Source organism: Homo sapiens, chromosome 17 (genome assembly GCF_000001405.40).
Source record: "Homo sapiens chromosome 17, GRCh38.p14 Primary Assembly".
Taxonomy (NCBI): Eukaryota; Metazoa; Chordata; class Mammalia; order Primates; family Hominidae; genus Homo; species Homo sapiens.
In genome coordinates, this window is record NC_000017.11 from 3,462,007 (window position 1) to 3,479,453 (window position 17,447).

General features: G+C 42.5%; 2 protein-coding genes across 11 annotated transcripts in view; one reads left to right on the plus strand and one right to left on the minus strand.

Moving 5' to 3' along the window:
• SPATA22 (spermatogenesis associated 22) overlaps positions 1–17,447 on the minus strand; it is a 73,840-nt gene that overhangs the window by 21,988 nt on the left and 34,405 nt on the right. Inside the window, exons 1-5 of one of the 8 annotated variants that reach the window (NM_001170695.2) lie at positions 9,740–9,813; positions 7,277–7,392; positions 5,420–5,548; positions 701–761; positions 477–572 (exon numbers count right to left, since the gene is read on the minus strand). In NM_001170695.2, coding sequence (NP_001164166.1) covers positions 477–572; positions 701–761; positions 5,420–5,548; positions 7,277–7,319 — 329 coding nt within the window. In that variant the 5' untranslated portion in view covers positions 7,320–7,392; positions 9,740–9,813. Of the gene's footprint in view, positions 1–476; positions 573–700; positions 762–5,419; positions 5,549–7,276; positions 7,393–9,424; positions 9,814–17,447 lie in introns of those variants that run through there. The other 7 variants (NM_001170697.2, NM_001170698.2, NM_032598.5 and 4 more) reach the window with 7 other exon arrangements.
• Positions 12,104–17,447, plus strand: part of ASPA (aspartoacylase) — a 29,296-nt gene continuing 23,952 nt past the window's right edge. Inside the window, exons 1-3 of one of the 3 annotated variants that reach the window (XM_017024661.2) lie at positions 12,104–12,168; positions 13,412–13,623; positions 14,128–14,389. In XM_017024661.2, coding sequence (XP_016880150.1) covers positions 14,154–14,389 — 236 coding nt within the window. In that variant the 5' untranslated portion in view covers positions 12,104–12,168; positions 13,412–13,623; positions 14,128–14,153. 3 annotated transcript variants of the gene reach the window in all.

Sequence of the window (17,447 nt, forward strand, 5' to 3'; positions counted from 1 at the left end):
CCTACTATTGCAGATGCATATGCATCACAGCCTCCATTTTTCTTTCTTCTGCCATTCCGTTTACCTTGAAGCCGGCTGTCTTACAGGATAAGACTGAGCACTCTAATTGGTTCTCAAGTCCTAAATATAATCAATACTAAGATATGATTCCTGTCTATTGTCAATTAAATCATTAATAACCCATAAGCAAAATCATAAATTCATAGCAATGAATATTGGCAGAAATTTCATTGTCATATTAAGAATCTTTTGAAGCATAATCACTGTGAAATTTACATATTTTTTAAGTTTTACATGCATGTTCTCTTAAGCTCTTTCATAAAACATAATTAATACTGCCATAGTTGTTATTTATAGAAATTTCCTAAATGTAATTCTGTCTGAGAAACAACGAAGTGAAGGAGGAGGGAAGAATGAAGAGGAAGACAGGAAAATGAGAAGGAATAGAAGAAGAAAGAAATTTTAAGTAGACTCACCTCCAACCACCCTGGCTTCTTCCAGTATTTGATTGAATAGAGTTAAAGACAGAATCTTGACTTCTCAGAGGACGAGAAACTGAATGTGGTATTTGCCTTTCAAGGGAATATGTCTTGTTAAATATTAATAGTTTGCTTTCAAATTGAGAAATTAAGATATACGTAGAAGAACAACATCAGTTAGTAACAGACACACATCCAATGGTTTATATTTCTCCACATACCCGGTGTCCACTGTTTTCATTACAGGAGCCAACTCTGGATTCACAGCTTCCCAGGCCCAATCTCAAAAGATATAAGTAACATAGATAAAAGTAAGATAGGTAGTATTTTTCAAAATGATAAATTCATACTTATTTAATTTGGAGGGTTTAAAAACTTGAAGAAGAAAAAACTTGAATATATGGATTTCTTCAACAGTACTTGTTGGAAAACCTGTCACAGCCTGCTTTATTAATTTTTATAGATGTCTTTCTTATCCATTGTATTTTAAGCAAAGATAATTTAATCTGTATCTTTTCTACAATCAGTTCTAGTATAGTATCTTTAACTTTGTAACATGAATTTCATCTAATCCAATGTTTACTGAACTTTTAAAATCTCACCCACAGAAAGAAATACATCATAACTCAGAACATATACATGCATGATATATGTGTGAGACAGAGATAGAGAGGAGAAAAAAGAATATAAAACTTCATCAAATCTTATCCTTAATATGTGTGATACACACTGACACAGTCATGTGTCACTTAATGACAGGGATACAGTCTAAGAAATGCATTGTTAGGTGAGTTTGTTGTGCAAACAACATAGAGTGTACTTACACAAAGCTGGAGAGTACAGCTTGCTACACACCTAGGCTATATGTTACAGCCTATTGTTCCTAGGCTACAAACTTGTGCAACATGTTACTGTACTCAATACCACAGGCAATTGTAACATAATAGTATTTGTGTATCTAAACATATCTAAACATAGAAAAGGTACAGTAAAAATATAATATAAAAGATAAAAACCAATACACCTAAGAGGGCACTTACCATAAATGGAGCTTGCAGGACTGAAAGTTGCTTTGGGTGAGTTAGTGATTAAGTGGTGAGTGAATACGAAGGCCTAGGACATTACTGTATACACTACTGTACACTAAACACACCATACATTTAGGCTACATTTATAAAAAAAAATAAACTGTGCTATGACATTATGACAGCTACTATGTCACCAGGAGACAGAAATGTTTCAGCTCCATTATATTTGTAATGGCACCACCATCACACAGGTGGTGTGATTGACCAAAACATGGTTATGCAGTGCATGGCTGTATTTTCTATTCTACTCTATTCTCTTCTATTTCTTTTTTCAAAGATCGATTATACCTCAGACTGATTAATGGATCAAGACAAACATTTTAAAAAAACACTGATCCTCTCCCTCTCCCTCTCCCTCTCCCTCTCCCTCTCCCTCTGCCTCTCCCTCTGCCTCTCCCTCTCCCTCTCCCCACGGTCTCCCTCTCCCTCTGTTTCCACGGTCTCCCTCTCATGCCAAGCCGAAGCTGGACTGTACTGCTGCCATCTCGGCTCACTGCAACCTCCCTGCCTGATTCTCCTGCCTCACCCTGCCGAGTGCCTGCGATTGCAGGCGCGCGCCGCCACGCCTGACTGGTTTTCGTATTTTTTTGGTGGAGACGGGTTTCGCTGTGTTGGCCGGGCTGGTCTCCAGCTCCTAACCGCGAGTGATCCGCCAGCCTCGGCCTCCGGAGGTGCCGGGATTGCAGACGGTGTCTGGTTCACTCAGTGCTCAATGGTGCCCAGGCTGGAGTGCAGTGGCGTGATCTCGGCTCGCTACAACCTCCACCTCCCAGCCGCCTGCCTTGGCCTCCCAAAGTGCCCAGAGTGCAGCCTCTGCCCGGCCGCCACCCCGTCTGGGAAGTGAGGAGCGTCTCTGCCTGGCCGCCCATCGTCTGGGATGTGAGGAGCCCCTCTGCCTGGCTGCCCAGTCTGGAAAGTGAGGAGTGTCTCTGCCCGGCCGCCGTCCCATCTAGGAAGTGAGAAGCGCCTCTTCCCGGCCGCCATCCCATCTAGGAAGTGAGGAGCGTCTCTGCCGGGCCGCCCATCGTCTGAGATGTGGGGAGCACCTTTGCCCCGCCGCCCCATCTGGGATGTGAGGAGCGCCTCTGCCCGGCCGCGACCCCGTCTGGGAGGTGAGGAGCGTCTCTGCCCAGCCGCCCCATCTGAGAAGGGAGGAGACCCTCCGCCCGGCAACCGCCCCGTCTGAGAAGTGAGGAGCCCCTCCGCCCGGCAGCCGCCCCGTCTGAGAAGTGAGGAGCCCCTCCGCCCGGCAGCCACCCCGTCTGGGAAGTGAGGAGCGTCTCCGCCCGGCAGCCACCCCGTCTGGGAGGGGGGTGGGGGGGGGTCAGCCCCCCACCCGGCCAGCCGCCCGGTCTGGGAGGTGAGGGGCGCCTCTGCCCAGCCGCCCCTACTGGGAAGTGAGGAGCCCCTCTGCCCGGCCAGCCGCTCCGTCCGGGAGGGAGGTGGGGGGGTCAGCCCCCAGCCCGGCCAGCCGCCCCGTCCGGGAGGGAGGTGGGGGGTCAGCCCCTCCACCCGGCAGCCACCCCGTCTGGGAAGTGAGGAGCGTCTCCGCCCGGCAGCCACCCCGTCCGGGAGGGAGGTGGGGGGGTCAGCCCCCCGCCCGGCCAGCCGCCTCGTCCAGGAGGTGAGGGGCGCCTCTGCCCGGCCGCCCCTACTGGGAAGTGAGGAGCCCCTCTGCCCGGCCACCACCCCGTCTGGGAGGTGTGCCCAACAGCTCATTGAGAACGGGCCATGATGACAATGGCGGTTTTGTGGAATAGAAAGCGGGGAAAGGTGGGGAAAAGATTGAGAAATCGGATGGTTGCCGTGTCAGTGTAGAAAGAAGTAGACATGGGAGACTTTTCATTTTGTTCTGTACTAAGAAAAATTCTTCTGCCTTGGGATCCTGTTGATCTGTGACCTTACCCCCCAACCCTGTGCTCTCTCAAACATGTGCTGTGTCCACTCAGGGTTAAATGGATTAAGGGCAGTGCAAGATGTGCTTTGTTAAACAGATGCTTGAAGGCAGCATGCTCGTTAAGAGTCATCACCACTCCCTAATCTCAAGTACCCAGGGACACAAACACTGCGGAAGGCCGCAGGGTCCTCTGCCTAGGAAAACCAGAGACCTTTGTTCACTTGTTTATCTGCTGACCTTCCCTCCACTATTGTCCTATGACCCTGCCAAATCCCCCTCTGTGAGAAACACCCAAGAATGATCAATAAAAATAAAAATTTAAAAAACAAAAAAAAACAACACTGATGCAGTCCTATCTCTTACCCAATACAGGAAAACTACTATTTCTGACAAATAGTAACCCTGGTCCGAGCTTGAAGTACTTCAGGAGGACACACATTTCCTTATGGAGTAGCTCAATTTTTCAAGGTCAACATTCATGCTACTTATAAAAATATTTTAAATGACGGAATGTTTTTTAAATGGTGGAGTATGACCAGATAAATGCCCAGTTGTGCATATCCATGTGAATTTATGATTTTTATACACAAAAATTGGAAATATATGAACTTCACACTTAAATTTCTTCAAATATATCTTTTATATATTTTGTTTTCTTTAAACAAAATACAGATTTAGAAGTATATTAAAGTCTATGGGAGCACACTAGATGAAATTAACAATACAAGTATTGCTACATCAGAGATATTTTTAAATTCTAGCTATATAAGATCCTATTAATTTTTAAAATGTGCCCCCAAAATGTAAATGTATATAACCAGCATGTACCACGTATACTTCAGAATGTCTGCCTGCCCATTCCTCTTCCAGAGGAAAGTAAAAAGTCAACAACAACCATTAAGACCTCCCAGCACCCACCAAACCTCAGCTAACTGGTTCAGAGGTAAGAGGCCTAACCCAAACCTAAGCCAGGATTTCAGTGGCCTTACTTAAAAGATGAGCTGAATCACAAGCTGTCTCTAGGATGTGAATTAAGAGATCCAGAGGGCAGTCTACTGGTGACCTCTGAGAACTAGAACTAAAAGGTTATGCAAACTCACAGGAAGGGCAACTTAGCTCATGTGCCAGTTGAAGCTGTAAGGAAGCCAACTGGATGAAGGTGTGTCTTAGTCCCTTTGGACTCTACTATAACAAAATACTTTAGAACGGGTTATTTACAAATATGATAAATGTATTTCTCAGTTTTGGAGGCTGGGAAGTCAAGGCTTCTTACTGTGTCCTCACATGACAGAAGGACGGAAAAGCTCCCTCATACCTTTTATAAAGTCACTAATCTCATTCATGAGGGCTCTGCCCTCATGACTTAATTACCTCCTGAAGGCCCCACATCTTAATACTATCACACCAGCAATTAAGTTTCAACATATAAATTGGGGGGGATCACATTTGGACCATAAACAGCTAACAAATCAATGAAGGCAAAAATGCCATAAAAAGAGAAAAAGACTACGGCCAGGCACCAGATACTTCCAGGCATCTGCACTTCCTAAAATCTATCTTTTTTTTCCCATTTTTCCTGTGTTCCCATGCACACTTATCCCCACTCCTGAGGCAATTCAAGTGTTTCCATTCTTTACCACCAAATGTATAGGCTATAACACAATATCCACGTGAATTTTGACAAAGAAAAAATATTTTTTACAATATATGTTACTACTTTATTAGAACAAAGACTCCAAATCTAAGATACTCCATTTAAATGCTAAGCCACCCTTGTAGATAAGGAAACTTAAACTCCTGACCTGGAATGTTCAGAAAGTGCTATGTAATTTCTATATGTGGATAATGGAAAGAAGAAAAAATAAACTTTCTATTTTCATTATAATATAAATTACAATTTTCTATAATCCTAGTTTTGTATTTCCTGAAAATTTTTACCTTATTAATTTTCTTACCTGTAGGTAGAGGAGGAAAATCATAATTGTCAGAAGGGGTACTGATACCTGAATCATCTTTAAGTGGATTAGAAGTTAATGGCTGTCTGTTCCTCTTTTTCTGATTGAACAACGGAACAGGCAAACAGCCTAAATTGAATGTACCAATAAATTAGTACATAATAGACAAATAAGCAGATCTAGTTGTAAAATAATTACTAGTATAATACACACTTTACATTTATCTACTTCTATATGCTAATATACTTATAGATTTCTATAACCTTAGAATGATTTTTACATTCTTTTTAAGATCCTGAATAGCCTAATTTGTTTCTTCAAAAAACTTTTCTTATTCTACTCTAACAGTTTTAATTCCTCCCATATGGAAGTAATTCCCATCTCCCCCCTCATCCCCCAACCTTTCCAAATCCACTTTTTGTTTTCCTTATCCCCCTCCTGTGCTTGCCTGTTACCATATCGACTGCAGGGGACCTTTGAAGTACAACAGAGGTGAGGAAGAACCAAACTCTGAACCATGCTTTGGACAATAGTGGCACACCCTTTTGGGCCTTGGTTCTCAAAGTTTCATTGGACTAAGATTTATCTGGAATTCTGCTTAATGTGCAGTTCCTAGACTCCACTCTCATAGATTTTATTTCAACAGATTTAGCCTGGAACTCAAAACTCTGCAATTTTAACAAGCACCTCGGGTATCTGTAATTATATATTTTGTGGATCATTTTGAGAATGCCTTAAAGAGTAATAATATCCAGTCCAAATGAGAATAAATACTACTACCGATTCCTCCAGATGGCGGATCTAGGATCTCAATTCAGGTCAAAAGTCACAAAATATAAACTTTGAAACTTAGGGAACTCGAAGGGAAAAGAAGTTCAAAAAGCTTGTGCATTGCTATAGAGCAAGTCAGTGGAAGAATCTAGATAGGACACAAGATTCCTAAATATCAGTTTGGATCTCTTGCCACTGTACCATTCTCTAACTGGTCATCATCAATTGTTCTACAGGCAAATACAGACTCTGTGAACAGTCTCTGATGAAAGGCTGGGAGAATTATGTGGGCTCTGGAATCAGACCGCCTAGGTCTTGAATTATGACTTCAAAGTAGGTTTGAATTACAATTTCAGAGTATGATCTTGGGCAATTTCCCTAAACTCTTTGTGCCAATATGACATATACTGATAGCATAATGATTAAGAGCATGGACTAAGAGCCAGATTCCTAGGTTCAAATTCTGATTCTGCTACTTCATGGATTACTTATTTAACCTCTTTTAGCCTTGTTTTTCTCATCTGAACAACAGAAATGATTATAATAACCTATCTCAGGGTATTGGTGTAAAGATTAAATAAATTAATATATATAATTAATGTCTTGAATACAGTTAATCCACCATAAATAATAGTTACTATTATCTTCATTATGCATCATCATTCCCCTGGTTCTCATCATCCTTGCCATCTGTCTTTATACTAATAAATTGGGAAAGCAAAAATGATAGGAGAAGCTATTAGAAAGACAGAAGTGCTTCCGGAAATATTTTTAACAAGTAAGTCACAAATACAAACAAAAATAGATCTATTTCTTTGTTTTCAGTTTTAAAGCATAGAATAACTCAAGCACATCGAATTTGTAGAAAGAATATCAAAATAAATCTAAGAAACTTTGATCTTACTCCCACCTCTACCACTAAATGTTTTGTCTTGAGTAAGTTATTTTACTTCCTTGGACCTAAAAAGTAAAGAGGCTAGATTAACTGTTCAATCTATTTTAAATTTATTTCCAATGTTATATCTATAAACTATACAAGCTTTATATGCTATACAGAAAATTTAAAAATAAAAAGTTGTTCAATACCTGCTGTACTTCGAGCTGAATTTTCATTTAGGCTTCGCTTCATTTCCTTCAATATCAAAATCTATAATTTTCTATTCAGCATTCCAAATTTATAATATGACATTGTCCCACTAGACCTGCAAAGAAAGAAACTTATAACTCGTATTGTCTCAACTATAAAACCCAATCCTCAGCCCAGTGATTACTGAAATTATGGTTGTAAACTACTTTCAAACCTGATCACGTAAACACTTTAGGGAGTCCTTTGCTTTCTAAGAGTTTACACCATAATCCACTTTTCCAACCCTGTTCAAATTAAGTTATGACTAGGGCAACTGTAACCTTGCTTCGTAAACATATGTGCATTTTTTCACACAGTATATGTAATTTATTTCAGAATCCCGCACCCACAAAGAGAATTCTGAACCACACCTACAAAGAGGAAAATGGACCACAGCGTTGGCAAACGTACATGCTTCCAAGGCCAAGGAGGAAACACAGTATTTAGCCACCGGGAACTTCCTCCATGCCCCACTTTAAGGCATTGTGCAGGACATCTGCCTTTGCATCAGTTTGAAATGCCTGGATTATATAATATCAAAGACTAAGTCTTCCTGAGGTCAGGAGTTCAAGACCAGCCTGGCCAACATGGCAAAAGCCCATCTCTACTAAAAATACAAAATTAGCCAGGAGTGGTGGCGGGCGCCTGTAATCCCAGCTACTCGGGAGGCCGAGGCAGGAGAATCGCTTGAGCCCGAGAGGCCGAGGTTGCAGTGAGCTGAGATCGTGCCACTGCACTCCAGCCTGGGCAACAAGACCCAGACTCCATCTCAAAAAAAAAAAAAAAAAAAAAAGACTAAGTCCTCCCTTCATATCTAGAATAATTGTAATGACAAGTTTCCACTCCATTTCCACAACTTCAACAAGTGAAACAAGTTTTTCCTTAGTTTTCTTCTTTTACAATAGAATTTCTCTTGTAATTTTGCACGTTTAGCCCCTTAACACATTTCATCCCCAATCTAATACAACGAACACTTGCCCACTGCAAGAAGAGGCAAGATACAAACCCAAACCAGGTAACTTCTGTTCCAAATTCACAACCCAATGAGACAGACAGACCGACACATACACAACTAAGCAATAATGCAAGTCAGGCCGAGGTGTTAACTTTCAAATATCGTTTGTAAAAATAAAACTTGGGAAACAGGCCGGGTGCAGTGGCTCACGCCTGTAATCCCAGCACTTTGGGAGGCCGAGACGGGCGGATCACGAGATCAGGAGATCAAGACCATCCTGGCTAACAGAGGGAAACCCCGTCTCTACTAAAAAATACAAAAAAATTAGCCGGGCGTGGTGGCAGGCACCTGTGGTCCCAGCTACTCGTGAGGCTGAGGCAGGAGAATGGCATGAACTCGGGAGGCGGAGGTTGCAGTGAGCGGAGATCGTGCCGCTGCACTCCAGCCTGGGCGACAGAGCGAGACTCCGTCTCAAAAAAAAAAGAAAAAAAAACAACTTGGGAAACACGAGGTCAGGTGCTGCCTCTGTTTTGTTTCCACATCTTAGGCTTGAAGCTGGGTAGAAGAGATGGACCCTTTAGAAAATATTCCTGGTGGCCAGGTGCAGTGGCTCATGCCTGTGATCCCAGCACTTCGGGAGGCCAAGGCAAGTGGGTCACCTGAGGTCGGGAGTTCAAGACCAGCCTGACCAACAACGTGAAACCCCGTCTCTACTAAAAATACAAAAATTAGCCGGGCATGGTGGTGCGTGCCTGTAATCCCAGCTACCCTGGAGGCTGAGACAGGAGAATCACTTGAACCCGGGAGGCGGAGGTTGCAGTGAGCCGAGATCACGCCACTGCACTCCAGCCTGGGCGACAGAGCGAGACTCTAGGGAAAAAATGGAGAGAGGGAGGAAGGGAGGGAGGGAAGGGAAGGAAGGAAGGAAGGGAAAGGAAAGGAAAGGAAAATATTCTTGGCGCCATCCTAGGAGCCACAACAGGGATTCTGCCACTTTCTCCACCGGCGCAACTCACATCCTATATTTAGAGGGGCTTACGAGGGCTATTATGTTTCTCAGGATCAAACAAACAGAATAAACAACAACAAAATTTTTAAGTGTAACATTCCACCCGCGGGACCATTGATCCTGAGGGCGGGGACCCTCATTTACCCCCAATCCCAGCTCCCAAATGGACCTAAGTGGCGTTAGTAATGGGGTTGGTGGCATTGGTGTGCAAAAAGTGTGCTCAATCTGCACGCACACACACACACACCACCCACAAAAACCACGGCCTCAAATGGCGGCCTGTTTTGGCTCCTGACCGCGGTGGGAGAGAAGAGGCTCCAGTCCGAGTTGAGACGCTCTTCCAAAGGCCTCTCCTGACCCGCCCACGGAGTGGGGGCAGTTTGGTATCAACGCACAGTCTTTCCCTTCTAGGCCCTCCTGCCAACACGACACACAACTTTCGCCCTCAGTTTCCCTCGCCTCCGTCAACCGTCGTCCAGGCGGCCCCGTCAGCAACCGCCGCCCTTCCCGCCCGCGAAGAAAGCGCGGGAATCAGGCTGTTCGCAGGCGCCGTGGACCGCGCAGGCGCAGTGGCCGCCACCTCGGCGCGATGGCATCTTCGCTGCCTGCCTGGCCGCCCTTGGCCGGGCGCGATGACGTTAACGCTCTTCCTTGGCGTTCTCACACTGTGGACCCAGGGATGGCTCCAGCTCCTTAGAGTTTTGCCCAGAGAGGAAAGGAGACTGTCCTGTGACTGGAGAGACAGAGGCAGATCTCCTGCCCAACCGGCCTCAGCCCCACCATCGTCTAAAAAGTGTGCCCCACTTCCCCTCACCCCCTGGCCCTTAGGGTCCAGACATCCGTTTGTTAGATGCTGGTGGCCACCCAGAGTGTGCCCAGAGATTGACTCGAAGGCCACCCGAGGTGTCTGGCTCAATTTCTGGGTCGGATCAGGGTCAGGGAATCTGAGTCCCCGGGAGGCTGGGGACAGAGCTGAAGCCCAGGTTCAGATGGCGGCCATGGAAGGCGGAGAGCCGTCAGCGAGGCAGCGCCGGGGCTGCGGGAGCTTGCGGGAGGGAAGCGCCCGTGAGCCGCAGAGACGCTCTGCAGGGGAAGCCGCGTGGTGTGCGACCCTGGGCGTTGAGCTCCAGGCTTCCTGGCAAAGAGGACTGTGGATTCCTGGCCCTGTGACCTTGGGCAAGTTACTTACTGAACACCCTCTGGACCTACCAGTAAAAGAACAATAACAACAATCGCCCTAAAAATACTAGAAGATGAAATAGACAATCCTGGCACACAGTAAATGCCCAGTAACTGTTAGCCCTTATTTAATTTGAGTAACAGTAGCTGCCATTTATCCGGAACTTACTATGGGCCAGGTAGTGGATTCTAGAGCTGTCTGAGTTCAAAGCCCATGTTTTGTTGTTACCGTATCTTCTAACCATTTGAAGACTGGGATAGGGAAGGGCTTAGAGATGAAAGGAAGATTGTTAGTAAAGGCCTAGGCCTATAAGACCACAGACATTTTAGTAGTTGCTTTAAAACTATCTCAAGTAAAGAAGAGTGTTAGAAAATAATATTAGATGTAGACTGAGACCAGATAATAGCAGACCTTGAATGCCAGAGTAAGGAACAGCTTTCAAGGAATAGGGCCATCTTTTATTTTGGGAAGAAGAAGACTTGAACAATAAAAATAAAACTTGTTATTTATCATGGTTCCAGAGAGGAGTTACCCAAAACATGAATAGAAGCTTCAGGGAAGCAGATTTTGACTTGATATCTACATACGGATGTGCATACATTTACAACACACACCCACCCACCCCAAAAATAGATTTTTCATTAAAAAAAAAAAAAAAAAACCACCTTAAGCCGATTACTTCTGTAGGGACTGCAGACATGAGCAATATAGAATATTTGCTAGCAGTTTATAAACTTAATCTGTTTTATACTTGTCTTTTTCTGCTTATTTATTTCCACCTGGAAAGTTGGTCAGGATGGATCACAGGGAAGGAGAAAACTAAAGTAGTAAAAGTAGTTTGATTACATAACTACTGAACATCACATTATGTATGAGACATCTTATGTATAATATTTAACAAAAAACCCTTCTTATCCCCCAGTCATACCATTTGGGAAACAACCCACCTTAAATTTGTCTCCTACAAAATTTCTGGCAGGGATCTACTGGACAGCCATGACTGTGAAGTAAAACTCTGCTCTCCTTTTGTTTTGTTTTGTTTTGTTTTTGAGACGGAGTTTCGCTCTTGTTCCCCAGGTTGGAGTGCAATGGCACAATCTCAGCTCACTGCAACCTCCGCCTTCTAGGTTCAAGTGATTCTCCTGCCTCAGCCTCCTGAGTAACTAGGATTACAGGCACCCGCCACCACGCCCAGGTAATTTTGTATTTTTAGTAGAGACGGGGTTTCACCATGTTGGCCAGGATGGTCTCGAACTCCTGACCTTAGGTGATCCGCCCACCTCGGCCTCCCAAAGTGCTGGGATTACAAGCATGAGACCACACCTGGCATCCTTTTGTTTTAAACTACATTATTTTATTAATACATCAGGCAACTCTATCCCACAAAACATTTGTAATGCTGGAAGTTATGCTTACTCTTTTAAGTACTTCAGAATATTATATATTCAACTTAATAATGAGATAGTGACAATTCGAAAGGGTTTCACTTCGTATACTATCAGTTCGCTGAGAACTAATAAAAAAGTGTGGTTTTTTGGGTCATCCCAAAAATCAAGTACACTTTGGGAAACAGGGAGTTAAAAATCTTTCGGAAGTTAACTTGGTATAAGAGTATGAAAAGCCTCTGTTGCTCTACTTCTGAGGAAATGCTCTCCTTTTTCCTAATAAAGCTTTCCACAGAAGACAAACTCTGTACACAAAAAACAAGGTAAGTATGGGAAATAATTGCTGCAATTCATTAACTCTCAAAAAAGTTATTCATTTTGACATGTAAGAGAAACTTTATTTATGAATGTGAAATGTGCTTCAAAGTGCTGATCTGTTAAAATTCCATAAAACAAGCTTCAAAATGCAAGTCATTTGTGCCAGCTACGAGTAAATAACTGAAGCAGCATTTCCAGAGAGACTAGGGCAAAGGACAGAACAAACTACAAATCAGCAGAAAAGAAACCAAGCATAGTAGAGTGTTAATAATTCACCATGGTTACTGCTCTTAAAACCAAAGCAACTAAACAACTGTCATCTGTTTACTTTTACGTGTGTTTTCATCATCTCTACACCGTCTGAAGTGTTCAGTGTACATGGATGTGGACAGACAGTCAAAGCCTACAGGAGCTTTTTTTTTCTATTAGAACAGTCATTTTAATGCATAGATTTGATGTGGTTATTTTGCTTTCTCTATCTCTGCATTATAAGCTCTTAAAGGAAGAACATTCAGTGGGTTTATTAAATATTAGGAAGCATTCATATTTTATTTTTCCACCATGTATTTGGTTTGTATGCATGTTTGTTTCCTGAGCACACTGTAATGGCTGTTTATGTGAATTCTGAAAGAGCAAAACTAGAACTGTGAAGAAGACCAAAAATAACAGAGAGGCACCCTATTGTCCTGTGAAAAACACTAGACTTGGGATGAGAAACATGGGTCTCAGGCCTAGGTTCTCCTACATCCCTGCAGAACCTTAACTGAGTTACTTAACCTCTCTTTCGTTTACCCCTGCAGTGGGGATGTCAACACCTAACCCACCCTATCGTATAAAATTAATGTATGAATAAACTGAGTGAAAGGACATTATAAATTAAACTCTGCAATTGTAATAAATTACTCTTATTGTACCCTCTATCAAACAACCTGGCGTTACTAGTACATGGTATTCCCAGTACTTGAACATATGTGACTTTCTGGGTGACTGAGCATGAAATCAAATCAGATTTGGCTCAGAGTCATTTCTCCAAAGGGATGTAATCATCTTAGTATTCTGGAAAATTTCCCCTAATAAGACCCCTTTTTGAGTAACACAGTCCAGTGGAGAGTCCCCGCTGACAGTGAATAAGGCTGTGTCTATGTAAGTTCACATGATGTGGTTAGCACATGCAGTGTGTCCCAAGACATTTTCAGGCATCACAAAAACTTGAAAAGTACTAACAGTTGTCTTTCCTTTGGTATTTAGGCAAAAAATGAGGAAGATTCATAAGTAAGTTAACACAGAATTACCAAAAACCTCATGAGAAAGAAATGAAGGGATGTTTCAGGGTAGCTTTTCGAGTCCCAAGTGATCATTGATTTGGCCCTTCTGTTTCTGATTGTGAAAAAGCATTCTGAAAGAATGGGCGCCGGTTCAAGAGGAGGTCTCTGAGGGTCAGCCTTTGGCTGTTTATAGAGGTGAGATTCAAATGCCCTCAGATCATGAAAAGTGCTTGAACTCATTTCAGAGAAGAAATGTTTTGAAATGCCCGTGGAAATACTGAGTGGGCCACTTTTTTATTTTGTGAAATTAGAAACGTATAAACTATTTTTATTATTACAGATAATTGTGAAAGCCTCACTGGATGACATCCTAGCTGAGGAAAAGAATGGAATTTTTGTATTAGTATGAAATGCTAATTTATTACTGTATTTAGATCTACTGACCATCTGAGGGAGTTAGAAGTTAAAGTAAACAGCTGTATCTCTAGTTGATCTTTGCATATTTTAATCCAAATATGGCAAAGGGCAGGGCTAAAGAAGGGAGTGTCCATAAACGGGGCTCAGAACTTGTAACAGAAAATTAAAATATACTCCACTCAAGGGAATTCTGTACTTTGCCCTTTGGGTAAAGTCTCATTTACATTTCTAAACCTTTCTTAAGAAAATCGAATTTCCTTTGATCTCTCTTCTGAATTGCAGAAATCAGATAAAAACTACTTGGTGAAATGACTTCTTGTCACATTGCTGAAGAACATATACAAAAGGTTGCTATCTTTGGAGGAACCCATGGGAATGAGCTAACCGGAGTATTTCTGGTTAAGCATTGGCTAGAGAATGGCGCTGAGATTCAGAGAACAGGGCTGGAGGTAAAACCATTTATTACTAACCCCAGAGCAGTGAAGAAGTGTACCAGATATATTGACTGTGACCTGAATCGCATTTTTGACCTTGAAAATCTTGGGTAAGACTATGCTTTGTATTGTATATGTATGTATGTTGTGTGAAAAGTGGTAGGTGTGTGAAAGAGAACACATATATGTATATGCAGATGATAATTCATGTCCGTACATGCAGTCGTATGTTGAATAAGATCACTTTCACTTTTAATTATACTGCATTGTGAATTGCACAATTATCTAAACTGGGCATTCACATGCTCTTTTATAAACCTTCTTAAGCACCAGATTATTAAGTTTTCTTTTCAAATGTATACAGACTGAGACAATAAATAGAAAAGGGTTTTGTTTTAAAATCATACCTTTAAAGAAACAGATTTAATACTCCTTTGCATTGAGTTAGTGTTTGGCCACTATGCTTGCATATAAAATTGTTAGCTTTTTAGGAAATTCACTACGTTTTCAAGCAACTATGCTTACGGTAATGCATAAAGTTCTAGTTCAAAAAATGTAATGTTTCAAGTAATATTTGTTGAATGAAAGCGTGATTAAATATCTTTTGTCAGAAGACATCAGACACTTTGGGAGGCCGAGGCAGGCGGATCACGAGGTCAGGAGATCGAGACCATCCTGGCTAATGCAGTGAAACCCCATCTCTACTAAAAATACAAAAAATTAGCCGGGCGTAGTGGCGGGTGCCTGTAGTCCCAGCTACTTGGGAGGCTGAGGCAGGAGAATGGCGTGAACCCGGGAGGCGGAGCTTGCAGTGAGCCAAGATTGTGCCACTGCACTCCAGCCTGGGAGACAGAGCAAGACTCCGTCTCAAAAAAATAAATAAATAAATAAAAATAAAGACATCAGACCTCCCTGTGATCCGAAGTAGCAGACGTACTTAACTTCCATGGTGGATTGTTGTAGATGGGATACCAGAGATGAGAACTAAAGACACCATCTGAATTTTCAGAGCTTATATTTTGCTGATTTGTAATATATTGCATACAACGTAAGCAGTCATAACATGCTAGGTTAGGTCCTTATTAATTATTTTTGCCTTCGTTTACATCATAATAGCTACCACTGTGGATATAATATGACTCCACATATTTGCTTTTTACCACTTCTTTCTTTCTTTCTCTTTTTGAGATGGAGTTTCGCTCTTGTTGCCCAGTCTGGAGTGCAATGGTGCAATCTCAGCTCACTGCAGCCTCCACCTCCGGGTTAAAGTGATTCTCCTGCCTCAACCTCCCGAGTAGCTGGGATTACAGGCACTTGCCACCATGTCCGGGTAATTTTTTGTATTTTTAGTAGAGACGGGGTTTCTCCATGTTGGCCAGGCTGGTCTCAAACTCCTGGCCTCAGGTGATCTGCCTGCCTCAGCCTCCCAAAGTGCTGGGATTATAGGCATGAGCCACCGCGCTGGGCCGCTTTTTTTCTTTTACTAAAAAATATTCTGAAACATCTGTTTTTCTCAGGAAACTGTGCCAGGTACTGGGGGAGTACACAGCTCTATACAACTTGGTTTCTACCCCTCAAGGAGTTGGTAGACTACTAGCTAAGATATAAGATACATGGCCGGGCACAGTGGCTCACACCTGTAATCCCAACACTTTGGGAGGCTGAGGCAGGCAGATCATGAGGTCAGGAGATCAAGACCATCCTGGCTAACACGGTAAAACCCCGTCTCTACTAAAAAAAATACAAAAAATTAGCCGGGCATGGTGGCGGGCACCTGTAGTCCCAGCTATTCGGGAGACTGAGGCAGGAGAATGGCGTGAACCTGGGAGGCGGAGCTTGCAGTGAGCAGAGATGGTGCCACTGCACTCCAGCCTGGGTGACAGAGCGAGACTCCGTCTCAAAAAAAAAAATATATATATATATAAGATATGCACAGGCACAACTAGCCACTGTTCTATGTGCTTGTTTTCTGATCAACTCTAATTTGAGTTAGATCACTCCTTAGGTTTAGTCTCAACACAGATCAAAACATGGACACTACTCTTAATAGAAACATGCCTCACTTTATGGAATAGATGTTTTTCAGGGCAATTATACTGCAGTCATCCTGTTTGTATCAAATCATATTTTTACTAGCATAAATTTTAATTTGAGAAATGCTTTATCTTCATGACTGAGGTTATGTCAACACAATTCATGCTTATCTATTGACCTAAGAGAGCTGTTAACTAACTTCTATATTACAAGTAAGAATTTGTTGAAGGATAACTTTTAGTCGGCATATTAACTTCCCAAATAGGTGTGAAATGGACTGGGGTGAGTTTATGAGCACCCAGTAGTATGCATTTCAGTGAGCACAGTCTTTTCACTTAAATTCACTTTCTGCTCCTTACTGTTAACACTGTTCAGAGACTAGACTGTTCCCAGCGTGGTTGAAAAATTATAAAATAGATAAACTAATTAACTTCTCCCATCCTGCCTCTCCCAAATTTATTCATTTTCCTATATTCCTCATCTCAGTGGTGGCATCATTATCCACCAAGTCCCCTGTGAAAATCACCCTAGAACCTTCCCAGTCCTTTGTCTCCCACGTCTAGTGGGTCACTAAGTCCTCCCAATTATTCCTTGCAAGTACTTCACAAATCCAGCCTTCCTCTCCAGTTTTACTACCTTAGTTGATTTCCTCTGTGGACAGTTAGAATAGCCTCCTAAAGGGTCTCTCTGCATCCAGACTTGCTCTGACCCTTCCTGTCATCTATTTTCCATCTGATACCTCTAGGAATCATCCTAATATGCAAATCTTATCATGTCTCTCCCCTGCTGAAAATTCTTTAAAAATGTATCCAGAATAGATTTAATCAACTTAGTATGGCTAATGCCCTTCAGAATCTCACTCTTCCCTATTCTTCATCCCTTGGGACTCTTCCAATGGGAGCTCAACTGCAGGCATGAGAACTCAAAAGTGTCCATCTTTTTGAAAACTTCCAGACTTGACTCTGAGCAACTGGGTAGATACTAGCACCATTTACTCAAATGCGGAAGAATGATATAGAACCAAAATTGTCGGGCGCGACCTCAGGGGGTTATTTCATGAATTAACTTTTAAAATGTATAAATATCCATTAGGCTTGGTTTGCATACAATAGGAACCTAAGAATAGTGGTTTAA